The 16,235-nt window shown below is 37.3% G+C and overlaps 1 protein-coding gene across 3 annotated transcripts in view; it reads right to left on the bottom strand.

The window, feature by feature from the left end:
- REEP3 (receptor accessory protein 3) overlaps positions 1-16,235 on the bottom strand; it is a 103,728-nt gene that overhangs the window by 55,932 nt on the left and 31,561 nt on the right. For all 3 annotated transcript variants that reach the window (NM_001001330.3, XM_011539501.3, XM_017015896.2), the window contains exon 2: positions 2,787-2,859. In NM_001001330.3, the coding sequence (NP_001001330.1) occupies positions 2,787-2,859 (73 nt within the window). The remainder of the gene's footprint in view (positions 1-2,786; positions 2,860-16,235) is intronic.

Below are 16,235 nucleotides of genomic sequence, written 5' to 3'. Positions count from 1 at the left end.
ATTTTCATGGTGTTTGGAAATGATGGCCAACTCTTAATTTTATCTTTCAAAAGAGAATTCCAATTAAAATATTACACAGTAGGGCAGAGTGTTGTCTATGGAATTGTACAAGGCTGTAAAAGCACTACTGTGTTACTGTAAGTATATTAATAATACAATAATGAAAACAATAGGCAAAAGTACATTATTTGACAGTAATTTCATGTTACTGAATATAGCAATAAAAAATTTGGGAGTTGGGCACTGTGGCTCATGCCTATAATCCCAGTACTTTGAGAGGCTGAAGTAGGTGGATAACCTGAGGCCAGGAGTCCAAGATCAACCTGGACAACATAGTAAGACTCTGTCTCTATAAAAAATAATAAAAAAAAAAATTAGCTGGGCATGGTGGTGCACGGCTGTAGTCCCAGCTACTGAGAAGGCTGAGGTAGGAGGATCGCTTGAGCCCATGAGGTCCAGGCTACAGTGAACTATGATGGTGCCACTGCACTCCAGCTTGGGTGATAACAGCAAGACCCTGTCTCAAAAAAAAAAAAAAAAAAAAAATTCTGGGTTGTATTTCAGGTTTAGGGGCTTTTTTCATTTCTTTATTTCTAGTGATTAGTATTTCATTTTATAAAAGTATTAGTCGGCAGGGCACAGTGGCTCACGCCTGTAATCCCAGCACTTTGGGAGGCCGAGGCGGGTGGATCACGAGGTTGGGAGATCGAGACCGTCCTGGCTAATACGGTGAAACCCCATCTGTATTAAAAATACAAAAAAATTAGCAGGGCGTGGTGGCGGGCGCCTGTAGTCCCAGCTACTTGGGAGGCTGAGGCAGGAGAATGGCGTGAACCCGGGAGGTAGAGCTTCCAGTGAGCCAAGATCGCGCCAGTGCACTCCGGCCTGGGTGACAGAGCAAGACTCCGTCTCAAAAAAAAAAAAAAACAAACAAGGATTAGTCTATGACTTACTCGAAAAACAAAAGTGGTCCTGTACCACAGGCAGCTTGAGAAGCACTGTTAACAGACACGCTGGCATCTAGAAACTAATGTATGCCAGCACTATAAAACAATACGCAAAGTATTTACTCCAACTTATATTAGAATATGAACCTTCAAGCCATGTATAAAATGAATTTAAATTACCAGGACTTAATATGGTTCCATCTCTTAAGATTAATTTCACCAATCCTAGGTCCAAAAGACACATATAATAAAAGGATAGAAAAATTTGAGAGCCCAACTATGTAACTTATTTACCTCTGCCAGATGTATTCCACCATTTTGACTTATATTAATATATACTTCACTTCAGAAGTTAGTTTTATATACAAGAGAAAAAAATGACCGTAAAAGTTTAATAAAATGAGTTAGTTATAAAAGTTTCAGAGTCTGTCCCTTCCTCCCACCCCCCAAAAACCCTGAAAATATAAAGAATAATGATCTAATCTCTGTTCATTTGACCAATTGGATGACAAGACTATCATCCAAGATTCCTTACAAAGAACCACAGCTATATATCCCAAAGAATCAAACGCAGGTGCTCAAACAAATCCTTGTATGTGAATGTTTGTAGCAGTACTATTCATAATAGCCAAAAGACAGAACAATTCATATGTCTGTCAACAGATGAATGGATAAGCAAAATGTCATATATCCATACAGTAGAATGTTACTCAGCCATAAAAAGGAATGTAACACATTCAAAATGAAATACATACTAAGATACGTATGAACCTTAAAAACATTATGCTGAGTGAAAGGAGCCAGACACAAAAGGTCACATATTATATGATTCTATTTATATGAAATATCCAGGATAGGTAAATACATACAGACAGCAGGTTGGTGGTTGTCAGCAACTTGGGCACAGGGTTTTATTTGGGGTGACGAAAATATTTTGGAACTAGAAAGAGTTGTATTATATTGTATTATATATATGTATAATATTGTGAATGCATCAAATGCCTCTGAAATGGATAATTTTATGTTATGTGAATGTCACCTCAATTTAAAAAAAAGAGGCATAGTTATTGATGTGCTGTTATCTCAGTATTGACTGCTTATCCTGTTGATTAACACCACCAATACAATATGCTTTTGCTATTCTCTAAAAATTCACTCCATCACATATACTAAACTATATCAGGATTTATAGGTGGGGAAGGCCATTTACTATTACACAGTATGAATAAAATGAGAAATGAGGAGAACTTCAGAAATCCTAAAAAATAAATGTTAGTGACAGAAAAAGAAAATTAGGGAATAGGGAAGAGGAAACTAAAAACAAAGAAATATTGAGGACTCATCGCAAATCAAAGCAAAATAATTACAAATGGAGTCTGATTCAAGAAGGAAAAAAGACTGCAGTTGTCAGTGGTGATGGAGTATCTGCATATTTATATAGATTAGAAAGTGATGAAACACCTACAGAAGAGGAAAAAAGCTTTGAGGCCAGAGAGATATTCTCAATGTACCTATAAATTTATAAGGCAAAAAGCCCCACAACTCCCCTCCCCAAGTCAAACAAACAAAAGTTCTCCAACCCCTTATTACACTGGAATTTATAGACTAAATCAAGACCTATTCAATTACTCATCTTGGGAACCATACACTTATTTTTATTGAAACTCCACTTTGGGGTTATCTTCAAAGATTTTAAAAAAGATTAGTTTTGTTACTTCACATTCATAACACCTTTTAACCCAAAACACTACTCCAGCCGTTTCTAAGAGAATAGCAGTTTTTCAGTGTGTATCATTAAAATATTAAACTCAGATTAATCACTCATAAAACTATACTTACATATTCCTTCACGTTTTTTGTTTTCACAGCTTTGTATGAATAATATGCAGGATAAAGCATTCCAAACACCAGCCTAAAAGTAAAAAAAATGAGAATACTGTTCAAACACAACAATGTTTTAAACAGCTCATAAAAATTTAACCTAATAAACAAATAACTGTAAATTTGTGTGTAAATTAAATCCGCTCAGAAAAAGTAAAAATATATTTTTAATAAAAAGATAATTTAGCCAGGCGCAGTGGCTCACGCCTGTAATCCCAGCACTTTGGGAGGTCGAGGCAGGTGGATCACGAGGTCAGGAGATCAAGACCATCCAGGCTAACACAGTGAAACCCCATCTCTACTAAAAATACAAAAAAATTAGCCGGGCGTGGCGGGTGTGCCTGTAGTCCCAGCTGCTGGGGAGGCTGAGGCAGGAGAATGGCGTGAACCCAGGGGACGGAGCTTGCAGTGAGCCAAGATCGTGCCACTGCACTCCAGCCTGGGTGACAGAGCAAGACTCTGTCTCAAAAAAAAAAAAAAAAGATGATTTAAATATTTAGATAGCAGTTTCATGAAAATAAAAACTTTATTTTTTGAAAAAATTGACTTCTAAAACTTTTTATCTCATTGCAAAAAATATTCTGTGGTTCCTTGAACAACATTTAGAAAATGTAGGAAATCACCAATAATAAAATAAAAATTGCTCCAACCCTGCCAGTCAGAGATAATCACAGGCAATATCTTATTGCACACAAATCCCACTATTTATCCACGTGTAGTATACCTAAGACATAAACATACACGTACACAATTTGTGGTAATGAAAACTTGGTCCTTCACTCCACTAGTTAGAATCACTGGGTTCTAATTATGACAGAGTTGTAAGGCAATTCTTGATACATTAACTATAATATGCATTAAAATAACTTTAAGCATTTACAAATTGACTTTAAATCACGAATAGGACTTAATCTAATGCCATTTGTAAAGATCACCAAATCCCAGGTCCAAGACATATGTACAAATGAATAATGAAAAGATAGACACAGAAATCTCACGACACAGTATACACAGTTTACAATGGATATTTTCACATAATATGGCACAGAAGTTTTTTGTCCTCAAATGTTATCCTACAGTATTTTTATTTATTGATTGACCAATTGATTGACATGGAGTGTTGCTCTGCCACCAAGGCCAGAGTGTAGTGGTGCGATCTCAGCTCACTGCAGCCTCTGTCTCCTGGGGACAAGCAATTCTCCTGCCTCAGGCTCCTGAGTAGCTGGGATTACAGGTGTGTGCCACTATGCCCGGCTAATTTTTTTTGTATTTTTAGTAGAGACAGGGTTCGCCATGTTGGCCAGGCTGGTCTCAAACTCCTTACCTCAAGTGATCCACCTGCCTTGGCCTCCCAAAGTGCTGGGATTATAGGCATGAGCCACCATGCCCTGCCAGTATTATTCTCAATGTCTGCATTGCATCACACATTGACGTTCCTTTACTTTATGTAAACAATTCCATGCTTACAACCTTTTGATTAATTTCTGAGGTTTTACTATTCTACACAACACTGTGAAAAACTTTGTCATCACTGATGTTCACTTCTTGGTTGTGATGTTGCTGCTTCAAGGGGTACACACATTTTTATCTATTAACCAAAATGCCCTCCAGAAAGGCTGATCCATTTTACATTCCTATACATTGCTGATCATAGGTATCATCGTTAGGAAAAAAAAAAATTGCAAGCTAAACAGAAGAAAAACAATAACCTTATAGCTATTTTAATGCGCATTTCTTTTTTTTTTTCTGAGACAGGGTCTCGCCGTCGCCCAGACTGGAGTGCAGTGGTGTGACATCGGCTCACTGCAGCCTCCGTCTCCCAGGTTCAAGCGATTCTCATGCCTCAGCCTCCTGAGTACCTGGGATTACAGGCATGTGCTACCATGTCTCGCCAATTTTTGTATTTTTAGTAGAGATGGGATTTCGCCATGTTGCCCAGGCTGGTCTCGAACTCCTGACCTCAAGCAATCTGCCTGCCTCAGCCTCCCAAAGTGCTGGGATTACAGGCACAAGCCACAGCATCTGGCCTAATGTGTGTTTCTGAATACCAGCAAATTTGAAATTTTTTCAAGTGCTTACTGGCCTTTTGATGAGTATACGATAACTTTGTCTATTTGTTTTCTGTTGTTTTCAATGGCCATTTTTTGAGAATATTTTACAGAAAAGTTGGAAAGATAGTACAGATAGTTCCCATATACTACATACCCAGTTTCCCCTATTATTAACATCTTATATTGGCATGGTACACTTATTACAATTAATGTACCAGTGCTGATTTTTGTTTATCAATTAAACTTTATACTTTATTTAGGTTTCCTTAGTTTTTACCTAGTCTCCTTTCTCTATTCTAGGATAGCACATTACACTCAGCTACTCTCTTAGCTTTTTTGGCTGTAAATTTCTCAGACTTTGTTTTTTATCACCTTGACAGTTTTCAGGAGTGCTGGTTAAGTATGTTGTACGATGCTTCTCTATTCACTCTAATCATGATTAGAGTGAGATATGGGTTTTCGGGAGGAAAACCACAGAGGTCAAATGCAATTCTTATCACATTATATCAAGGACACAGTCTATCAACGTGACTTATCACTGCTGTTAATCTTGACCACCATGCTGAAGTAGGACTTTGTCAGATTTTGCTGTTACTCTTTTTTGTCCACTTTTTAGTACTATATTATTTGGAAAGAAGTCACCATGCACAGCCCATGCTTGAGTGGGGAGTTATTCTCTACAAATAACAAATCATCCCTTTGTTCAGTGTATCCATGCTGTACACATTACCTGCCCTGTAGTCGCTTATTCTTAGCAGCTGTTTTGGTTATCAGATTAAAAAAATATAGTATATATAGGCTTTGGTGTTATCCGTGGTTTCAGGCATCCACCAGGAATCTTGGAACATATTCCCCTCTGATAAAGGGGGACTACTGTATCTCCTGCCCCATTCCTAGAATCAGCTATTTCTCCAAGGAGCCCCAGTTCCTTTTATTGGAGAACAGTATTTGAAGCCAAGATCTGGGAGCTAAGTGTGCTCATTGCTACTGGAATGTTGTTGATTCTAGGTCCTTCCTTGTCTATTTTATATGTTAATCAATATTTTTGTAGGTTATTATCTTTTGTTTTAATTTACAAATTTTACAGAAATGCATGCATACTGTATTAGTTTGCTAGGGCTACCCTGACAAAATACCACAGACTGGGTGGCTTCAACTACAGAAATTTGCTTTCTCACAGTCCTGGAGGCTAGAAGCCCAAGACCAAAACGTTGGCAGATTTGGTGTCTTCTGAGGCCTCTTTCCTTGGCTTGTAGCCTTCTAGCTGTGTCCTCACATAATGGCCCCTCAGTTTGTGTGTGTGGCCTAATCTCTTCTTAGAAGGAAGCCAATCATACTGGATTAAGGCCCTCTCTAAAGACCGTACTTGAACTTAATCACACCTTTAAATAACTTAACTCCAAACGTAGTCACATTCTGATGCGCAGGGGGTTAGGACTTCAATATATGAAGTTTGGGGAGACAGAATTCAGCCCATAACACATATATATTTGTGAACCTTTAGAGTAAATAAGTGTTTGCATTTACATAAGTCTTTCTTACACTGGAGCAAATATTTACATCTCTCCATATTTTTAGTTCATTTATAGTTAGTTTGTTTACCAATTGATTGATTGCTGCAGAGGGCAGTACATGCCTGGTGGCTTCCTTATCCATTGGTTTGGGGCTTATGTCAACAAGTCACAGGAAGAATACGCTTCTCTTGCTGGGGATTTTATACTTACCAACTAGAAGCCACATCATTAACAATCTCTGCCTTAAGGCTAGGAGCAGTGGCTCATGCCTGTAATCCTAGCACCTTGGGAGGTTGAGGGGGATGGATTACCTGAGGTCAGGAGTTCGAGACCAGCTTGGCCAACGTGGGGAAACCCTGTCTCTACTAAAAATACAAAAATTAGCAGGCATGGTGATGCATGCCTGTAATCCCAGCTACCCAGGAGGCTGAGGTAGGAGAATCGCTGGAACCTGGGAGGTGGAGGCTGCAATGAGCCGAGATCGTGCCACTGGCACTCCAGCCTGGGCGACAGAGTAAGACTCCGTCTCTAAAAAAAAAAAAAAAAAACTCTGCCTTATTTAACAATATTACCTGTGAAAGCGACTTCACTGAACTGCCAACCCCCAGGCTCTGGATACAGGATTTTTAGCTGTGCCACAAAGCTTGGGGCTTTTCAATTTAACTTAGCACCCCCACCACTCCTCCACCGCACAGGAGCTTTTCAGTTTAGAGACATCTAAGGAAAAACTAACTAGAGTGTAAACAAGAACACAATTCCCAGATCTGCTGTGTGTTCATCCACACCGCTGACACTAGATATAATCCCAAAGTTATGTTTTACATATTCAAGCTAATTATTTTAATTCACTTTATATTTCCCTTTAGAACTTGGATACAATCAAAGTATTATCTTCTGTATTCTCATACAATCTAGTATCATCAGATTTACATTCAATGTGGGATTCTTCACTTCTTTCACTGATGGGGCTTTGATACCTCCTTCCCCCAGTACAACATTCTTCCCATCTGTAACCTACTCCTGGTGGTTCTCCCTTGGTGAGAGTACATGCATCCATTCTCTTGTTTTATTTTCAAACTCGTGGCCAGTAATACATCTGGGCTCATGCCATCTCATCGGACTTACTGAATAGCTTCCCAACACATTCCTCTGTGCCCACTGTCAGATCAGTTTTTCTAATATACCTGCAGCACTGCCTCACTTAAAGACTTCACTAGCGGGCCTCTTCACCCCTTGCTGGCTAGCCCCTCTGGGGGTGGCATCAGAACATAATTTGAAAAGCACTGCCTTATATAAACCATCTGTTCCAACATGGTTTCCTCAATATGCCTCTTGTATTTCTACTTCAATCCAGGAGCGTCTGCTTCATGCCTGGATTGCCTCCCTCCCTATCTTTCTTCCTCTTCTTTCTTCCCGGTCTTTATTTTCTTCCTTAATTAAAACACATATTTTTCTTCAAGATCTACCCTTCCTCCATAAACTTCTAAATTACCGCTATTTTGCATTTTAGAAGAATTTGTCAGGACTAGTCATTTTCCATTTAACATATTCATTTTAGATTGCTTGACATATTTCTTAAATGTATGTAACTGGCTTCCAAAGCAGATCATTTTCTCTCACATACGAAGGATTTGGTGCTAGTTGATACTATACATATATGTGCTTTGCCTTTATTTTTTAACTTCTGTATTAAAGAGAATAAGTCAAACAAATAAACAGAATACCCTTAACACCTCTTTCTTGTAAGAGTAGAAAGTAGAAAACAATAATCATTTCATTTGGAACATGGGTAAGATTGAATGTTTTAGTGAAGAGTGGGACCATTTTTAAGGACTGCTACTATTAATATAATTTATTACTGCTCCAATGTGAATATTACTGAGAATTTATTATTAATAACTGTAATATTTTCTAGGGTTTTGAGGGGCTTGTTTTCTTTAACACTGGGGTCTACTGTAGATGTCTGCAGCCTGGGAGGTTGGGCATAAAGCCAAAGCATGAGCACAGTGTGTAAAATCAAATAAAGTATATTTTACAGGGCCACCTACAAGATAAATGGAGGGCTTATAAAGGGAATATTTGCTACAAGTAAAATTCACTTACATTGAATATTGTTTCAGTTATAGAGACAAGAAGAAATAGTTACACCTTTCCTCTTTGCCTCATTTCCGTCTAAAGAGGGGAAATTTTGTCAAAATAAGATACTGTTCACCCCGACTAATGTAAAGTTGACTTTGGAAATGTACGAACGCTGGCTATGTTGAAAAATCTGCACCATTTTAAAAGATGAAAAATAAAACCACTTATGGGAATGCAGTAGTGGGAGATGGTCCTCATATCATTTTCAGATACGGAAAATACTTAAAACAGCTATTTTCTAGACAGATATTCAGACACAATTCATCCTTAACCAAACAAGTCTGATATACATCTCTCAAATGCTTTAAGAAACCATTAAAAAGTATAAATAATGGTTTAATAACAAAACTGGTCAAGAGTTAATTTACATTTAAACAGGTTACAAAGCACTAATATCAAGGATTTAATCTGTTTTTAATCTATTCTTCTTGTCATTCTTTTTAAAAAGTATTATGAAAAACAAAAATATGTAGAAATAGAATAGTATGAATATAATAAATCTCCATTACCTATTACCTAGTTTTAAGAATTATTAACAGTGAGCCCCCTTTTCCAGATTTTTTCTATATTTTTAAGAATCATTACTTGTAAACATAATTAACATTTTAAAAACAATATTTTATAACATCATTAGAAGATAATTTAAAACATAATTAACACCTTAGAGCATATAGAGATTTTTATCCTTCTGTTTCACTCAATGCTACATTATCAGCATTTTCTTATGTCTTTAAATATTCTTTAAAAATATTATTTAACAACTACATGGTATAGTATTCCCTTATATAAATGAAAATCATTCAAATCCTTTCCTACCTGTTTTCTATTTTAACTAATGCTACGAACAATCTTTCTATGATTATTAACAACAGCAATTATTTATTGACATTTCATAAGAGCCACAATGTTAAGCACTTTACTTATATCACTTGATTTTCACAACAACAACTAGAGATGGGTGTTATTTTAAAACCAATTTTACAGATGCAAAGACTGAGGCTTAAAAAGGTAAGAAACTAACCCAAGGTCATATAATTTGTAAGTCTGTCGGCTGCATTCAAAGCCAGGCACTCTTACTCCAGAATTCACACTTAAAATCTCTACTTCCTAATGATATTTTCCTAGAAGTGAAATAACTGGGTCAATTTTGAAGGTCCTCTGCCAACGTGCTCTTTAGAAGGGTAACACCTATACATATTACTACCAAGAATGTATGAAAATATCCATTTCAGGACTATTTAAAAAAATAAGAAAAAAGTCAACAGATGAATTAAGTAAAGTAAAAGAGTAGCTAACAGACATTCTGTTTGAAAAATGAATTGTATTTCTAAGGTAATAAGGTATGGATTAGAACAATTATGCAGTGTATAAATCACTACTAAAATGGAGAAAAATCCATAAATATCATAGTTAGTAGTGTTAATAATTAATTTCTGAACTAGCTATACTTTCCCCTGAAATTTTCTTTAGATTACAAATTCCCTCTCTAATATGACAAAATAATTTAAATTGTAGCTTGTTAAAAATAAATATAACAAATAATTTATTGCTGATAATCTACATATTACTTAAATGTAATATGACCACACTTATGCAAGAATTAGTTAGCCAAATTCCCCTTATTTCATGGCTTTCAGAATCATGCTTCTAAACAACAACAAAAAAATTAATTACAGTGTACTATTAGACTAAGGGACTAAAAACAACTCAATGAGACTAGAGGTAAACTAAAATAGGATAGCTAATATTAAACAAACAAAATAAACTAGAGGATCAAAAATTGGAATGATGGAAGACATGTCCCAAGCTCATTAGAATAAATTAGTCACAATTCACACACACACACACTATATACACTCTCAAAAATCAATACAAAATACAACACTCCAGCCTCTTTTTTAAAACTATTTTTTATTTTTTTTGACACAGAGTCTTGCTCTGTTGCCCAGGCTGGAACGCAGTGGCATGATCTTGGCTCACTGCAACCTCCGCCTCCTGGGTTCAAGTGCCACCATGCCTGGCTAATTTTTGTATTTTTTTGTAGAGAGGGGGGTCTTGCCATGTTGGCCAGGCTGGGCTCAAACTCCTGGTCTCAAGCAATCTGTCTGCCTCGGCCTCCCAAAGTGCTGGGATTGCAGGTGTGAACCACTGTGCCTGGCCTCCAGCCTCTTATCGAAGAGTATAAACTCCATTAGTAATCCAGTTTATACTAGAGATACCATCTAAAACCCATGAAATTTACATAAGATGTGAAGTAAGGATGGCAAAGATGCAGAGGTAACTGTGCTACTCCTCCTTCTTGTGATCAAGTCAGAGATTGCTAGGCATTCCCTACATTTGTTTCTGCTGACCCTGGTCTCAGAATTCTTGTCAACACAGCACCATAACCTCACGCTAACCAAGGACAGGAGCTAGGTAAACCTATCTGTCATCTTTTGCCAACATTGTTGTAAATCTTTATTCCTCTAGGTGATGTTATTCTAACTTGATTACTAGGTTATATTCCTAAATTATTACACCTGTCTCCTTTGGGGGGAAAGTCATACTACATTCTTGATTTTTTTGAAGTATATTATAATAATCTGCTCTATAAAATCCATAAGAAGTAGAGAAATACGGCACTATTTTATTAGTCAGTATCCCTACATATGAAATTTCATATGAGAGATTTACTCTGAAATTCAGTACAATGCAATGCTTAGCTTTCTTTGAGAAATTGATGCCTTCCTTCCATCTGAAAAGAATTATATTATTCCTTGCTTCCCTCCATGGGTTGCCAGGAAACTCAGAATCAAATCTGTTGTTCTACTATATCAACACTTGTGGTCCTCAGAACTGGCATATTTATATTTGTACTCACCAAATTTTTATTTTCTTTGATTGCTATTTTCTAGTCTCAATTCTGTTATTTTTCTTTATAATTTAACATATCAATTTGGAAAAAAAATTCTCAAATCATTTGAAAGAACATAACAGAGCATAAACAGTTAAAATGTAGTAGTCAGTGTAATTAAGCACAAAATGCAGCTCTAAGGTGCCAGGCAAACCAAGAAAAGACTGGTCCCCAACCCTGCAACACGTCAAAATCACCTGGAGAGCTTCTTCTTTGTTGTTGATAAATTTAACGTAGGTAATTAATTTAAACAATAGAATAAGGAAGAAAACGCTAAGCAAAAACCTCCCATTTTGAAACAGTGGCATTTCCCAAAGATAAGCATGGAAACAGTTTATTTGGTATCCAAACAGTAAGATAAGTTATACATATAACATTTATTAAAGACAAAGGGAAATAGTCAAAAACTCATTATTTTCTAATTATATTTATTCCTAATTATTTTACATTTTACTATGCTCTTCAAGTTATATACTTCTATTCTATCTGTATGGTGGAAATACTAGAAATACTAAGTGTGCTGTGTGCATTTCTTTCCAGCTCCACATTCAGTGAGGTCACGCTGCGAGCTTGAACTAGGCTATTGTAGGCAGTACTTTACATCACAGAAATTAGCAAATTGTATGAATCAGTCCTCTTTCCCTCAGTTGTCAAGCATTACCGGCACACCACTGCCTACATGGGTTTTAGCCAAGGGAAACTATAGTATGTTTTTATTGGGAGGACAATGGAACACTATACATAGGGAGAATTCACAGAATTTAGTGAAATCAAAAAGGCAGCCCATTATAACAACCAAGTTTCCTGGCTTGACCCTGGGATCAAAAAACAAGCAAAGGCCGGGCGCGGTGGCTCACGCCTGTAATCCCAGCACTTTGGGAGGCCGAGGCGGGCGGATCACGAGGTCAGGAGATCGAGACCATCCCGGCTAAAACGGTGAAACCCCGTCTCTACTAAAAATACAAAAAATTAGCCGGGCGTAGTGGCGGGCGCCTGTAGTCCCAGCTACTTGGGAGGCTGAGGCAGGAGAATGGCGTGAACCCGGGAGGCGGAGCTTGCAGTGAGCCGAGATCCCGCCACTGCACTCCAGCCTGGGCGACAGAGCGAGACTCCGTCTCAAAAAAAAAAAAAAAAAAACAAAACAACAAAAAAAAAAACAAGCAAACAGAAAACAAAACAAAACAAAACAAAACAAAACAAAAACCCCACCAATTTTAAAAATGATTTCATGTAAAATTAAGAGAGAGGGCAAATTTTTCTGTCATTTATAATAGTTCACTCAAATTCTGTTTGAGTATTAGTTCTCTAATATTAATATAGACTGTAATGAATTTAAAAAATAGAATCATAGGCCAGGCATGGTGGCTCACGCCTGTAATCCCAGCACTTTGGGAGGCCAAGGTGGGCGGATCATTTGAGGTCAGGAGTTCGAGACCAGCCTGACCAACATGGTGAAACCCTGTCTCTACTAAAGATACAAAAAAAAAAATTAGTCGGGCATGGTGGCCCGCGCCTGTAATCCCAGCTACTTGGGAGGCTGAGGCAGGAGAATCGCTTAAACCTGGGAAGCGGAGGTTGCAGTGAGCTCTGTTGCAGTGGGTGACAGAGCGACTCTGTCTCAAATAAATAAATAAATAATAAAATAAAATCAGAATCTTAATCTCAATGAGGAATCCCAGAAATAGTTTATAAGAATGGTTTTCTGGTTTTTTTTCAAGGTAGCATTTTTCCCCCAGAGGAAATGTTTCTTAGGAACTTCATAAATAAAGAGATAAATGCAGTTAACAGGTTCCTAAGACAACTTATTTTCACTGATTGTAGAATCCTCTGATGAATTTTAAACCCTTGACAATTATTTGAAAAGTGCCCCTTACAAATGGTTCAGTAGCTCCCAAACCTGTCTATGTAAAATAATCAACTGGGAAGGAGGATTTTTGGCAGTAGGGCTCAAGGATCTGAATTTCTAAATTCTGCATCTTCAACAAACCAATGTGTGACAATATTATGCTTAGTTTGGTGTTGGATTAAAACTGATTATGATTAAGCAATATGTTGTCAGTACAGTACGTTGGTTAACTGGATTTTTTAAAGTAATGTGAAAGTCATTATAGGTTATCTGGACTTTTGCCACGCTCTATCCTTCACTTAGATGCAAAAATAAATGTAAGACATCATGATAAAAGAAGAGAGAGTTACAAAGAGTAGACTAAATGGTTACAAGTAGTGCAAAGTCTACTGATAACCAAGGTACCTGTGTATATTCTCCCTGTGATAAACTTCCTACATGAGTTTTTCTGCCATGGCAGCCATCAGGTAGCAAAGGTCATGCATGATCACTGCCAAAATAATATGTAATTTTTGTCTTACACAAATTTTAAGAAAAATACATTTGTTGCTAAAAATCTCTGTCAGTAGAGAATTCCCATTTAGTAAAACAATGGTTAAGTGACTAAACCTTAAAGAAAAATATGAAAATTCCATACAAGGAGAAAGAGTCAAACCCATGGGGAAAAAAACAACAACAGCCCCAAATCCTGAATTCTATAACCAAAGGTCCCCATGTTTAAAACCATGAAGGAGAGAAAAAGACAGTGGAAATTCCTTTGAAAGACTTTATGTTTTTCATAATACTCATCAAAAGCTATGAAACTTGGAATTTTCATGTTAGAGCTAAACTTAGCTAAATTGGAGCTACATTTCTAATTTTACTCCAGAGCCTATAATTTCTATTCTAAAAGGAAAGGTAAAGATGAAACTAGAGGGGAAAAAAAATCAAGCTACAGCAACTCAGACTCAAACTTCCTCATCTCCTCACTCTCTCCCCACTAGCCACGCCCCACTACAACCACAAGGGCCTACCATGTGGTAGACCCCAACAAAAAAATGTTTAGAAGAATGCTGAACTTGGAACAGAGTACACTGTAGAATCAAGGGCTACAAACCCTTGAAGCACTCCAGTAACTCAGCATCCTGTGGGTAGAGTACCACAGAATGGCTCATAGGGCTGAAAGAAGACAATGGTCCCTACAATCTACAGCACTCCACAGTTTTCCAGCTGCAATTTTTCCATCCTGATTGTCATTACACACAGAAAATTCATAGGCGAGGTAGGTGCTATTGTTCTAGTTCTACAGATGATAAAAGTAAGGCTTAGAGAGATTAATGATCTTATGAATTAAGCACATAGCAAGTGTTAAAGCCAAAACATAGAACTTCTAATTTGAAGACCTGTGCTCTTTCCTCTATACCAAAAAACTGTCCCCCAAAGAAAACCTGTATTTCATACAATGTATAGCTCATAGCAGATCCCCAATATTAACAGTTCGATGATGTCAATATTCCGAAGTTCTCTAAACAATTGTAATTCCACAGGCATACTACTGTCATATAAAAAAAATATCTGAGACCCATTTTCTGATTGTATACTAAGTCTACATAAAGGAATATGCATGTCTTTAATCAACAATCATCACACCCTTTAATTCCTATCAAATGATTACTCATGATCTGACCAATTCCTGATTCCTGAGTAACTCTTGACTCAGAGGAGTTGTTTACTTTATTTAGCCCCTTAAGCACAGGATGTGTAAAATTTGAACTTACCATTAGGCCCACTGACTTAAAGATAACGTGAAAGTTCAATTGCAATCTAAGGTTTTTTTTTTTTTTTGAGACGGAGTCTTGCTCTGTCACCCAGGCTGGAGGGCAGTGGTGCGATCTCCACTCACTGCAAGCTCTGCCTCCCGGGTTCACGCCATTCTCCTGCCTCAGCCTCCTGAGTAGCTGGGACTACAGGCGCCTGCCACCACGCCCAGCTAATTTTTTGTATTTTTAGTAGAGACGTGGTTTTACCGTGTTAGCCAGGATGGTCTCGATCTCCTGACCTTGTGATCCAACCGCCTCGGCCTCCCAAAGTGCTGGGATTACAAATAGGCGTGAGCCACCGCCCCCGGCCAATCTAAGTTTTAAAAAGCTTCTGGTGAAGAAAAAACATGTACAAACAATTGTGAAAACATTGCAAAAAATTTCCTCTCCTGAAATACATCCGTCTCTACAAATTAAAGGAGGATGAGTAAGGAAAGCCATAAACACAAATTCTACCCTATTCTGTGCAATTCATTCAGTATCACATGACCACAAAGTGAACTTCTCTAAACTGAACTCAGATATAAAATTCTGGCCAAGCCCTCCCATAGAACATTCATACCTAATGTACAGTCTAAGCTACAGTCACCTACAGGCACTTCACCAATGAGCATGAAAACGCTTCACCAGGTTAATTTAATATTTTGCTTTCAAACAATCTTTTAAGTCTCCATTAAACAATAACAGGTATCACTGACGGCATACTACATGTCAAGGCACTGTGTTTTTCTATCACTAGGGATACATCAGTGAACTTGCTATCGCTTTTTAATGAAAATTAAATTTGTGATGATTTGGAAACCAAAACATTCTATTTTCATATTTCTTAAACCACTTCCTTCATTCCATTTATTCAAATCACTCTAATACCTCCAGCATCTCCAACACAGTAATTTTTTCCCATGCCACTCCCTGTAGCTAGAACAATCTCGCTCTTCATGTTGTGAGCTCTCCCTCCTCTCAGAGCCACACTGCCTGTTTACTGTCTTTCATTAACGGGGCTTTAAAAAAAGGTTTGGTCTTCTTATTTTGTAAAGTAAGTGAACAATAACAGAAGTTACATTACAGAAGTAACAACCAGAACATAAAAATTAAGTCATTGTAAAAGCATTTGTGAGTATTCTCCATGTTCTCTTGAGATGGTCAACTGACAAAGACAATGTCT

This window comes from Homo sapiens, chromosome 10 (assembly GCF_000001405.40).
Source record: "Homo sapiens chromosome 10, GRCh38.p14 Primary Assembly".
Classification (NCBI taxonomy): domain Eukaryota; kingdom Metazoa; phylum Chordata; class Mammalia; order Primates; family Hominidae; genus Homo; species Homo sapiens.
The sequence above is the reverse complement of the archived record's forward strand: the minus strand, read 5'-3'. Positions and strand labels throughout refer to the sequence as shown.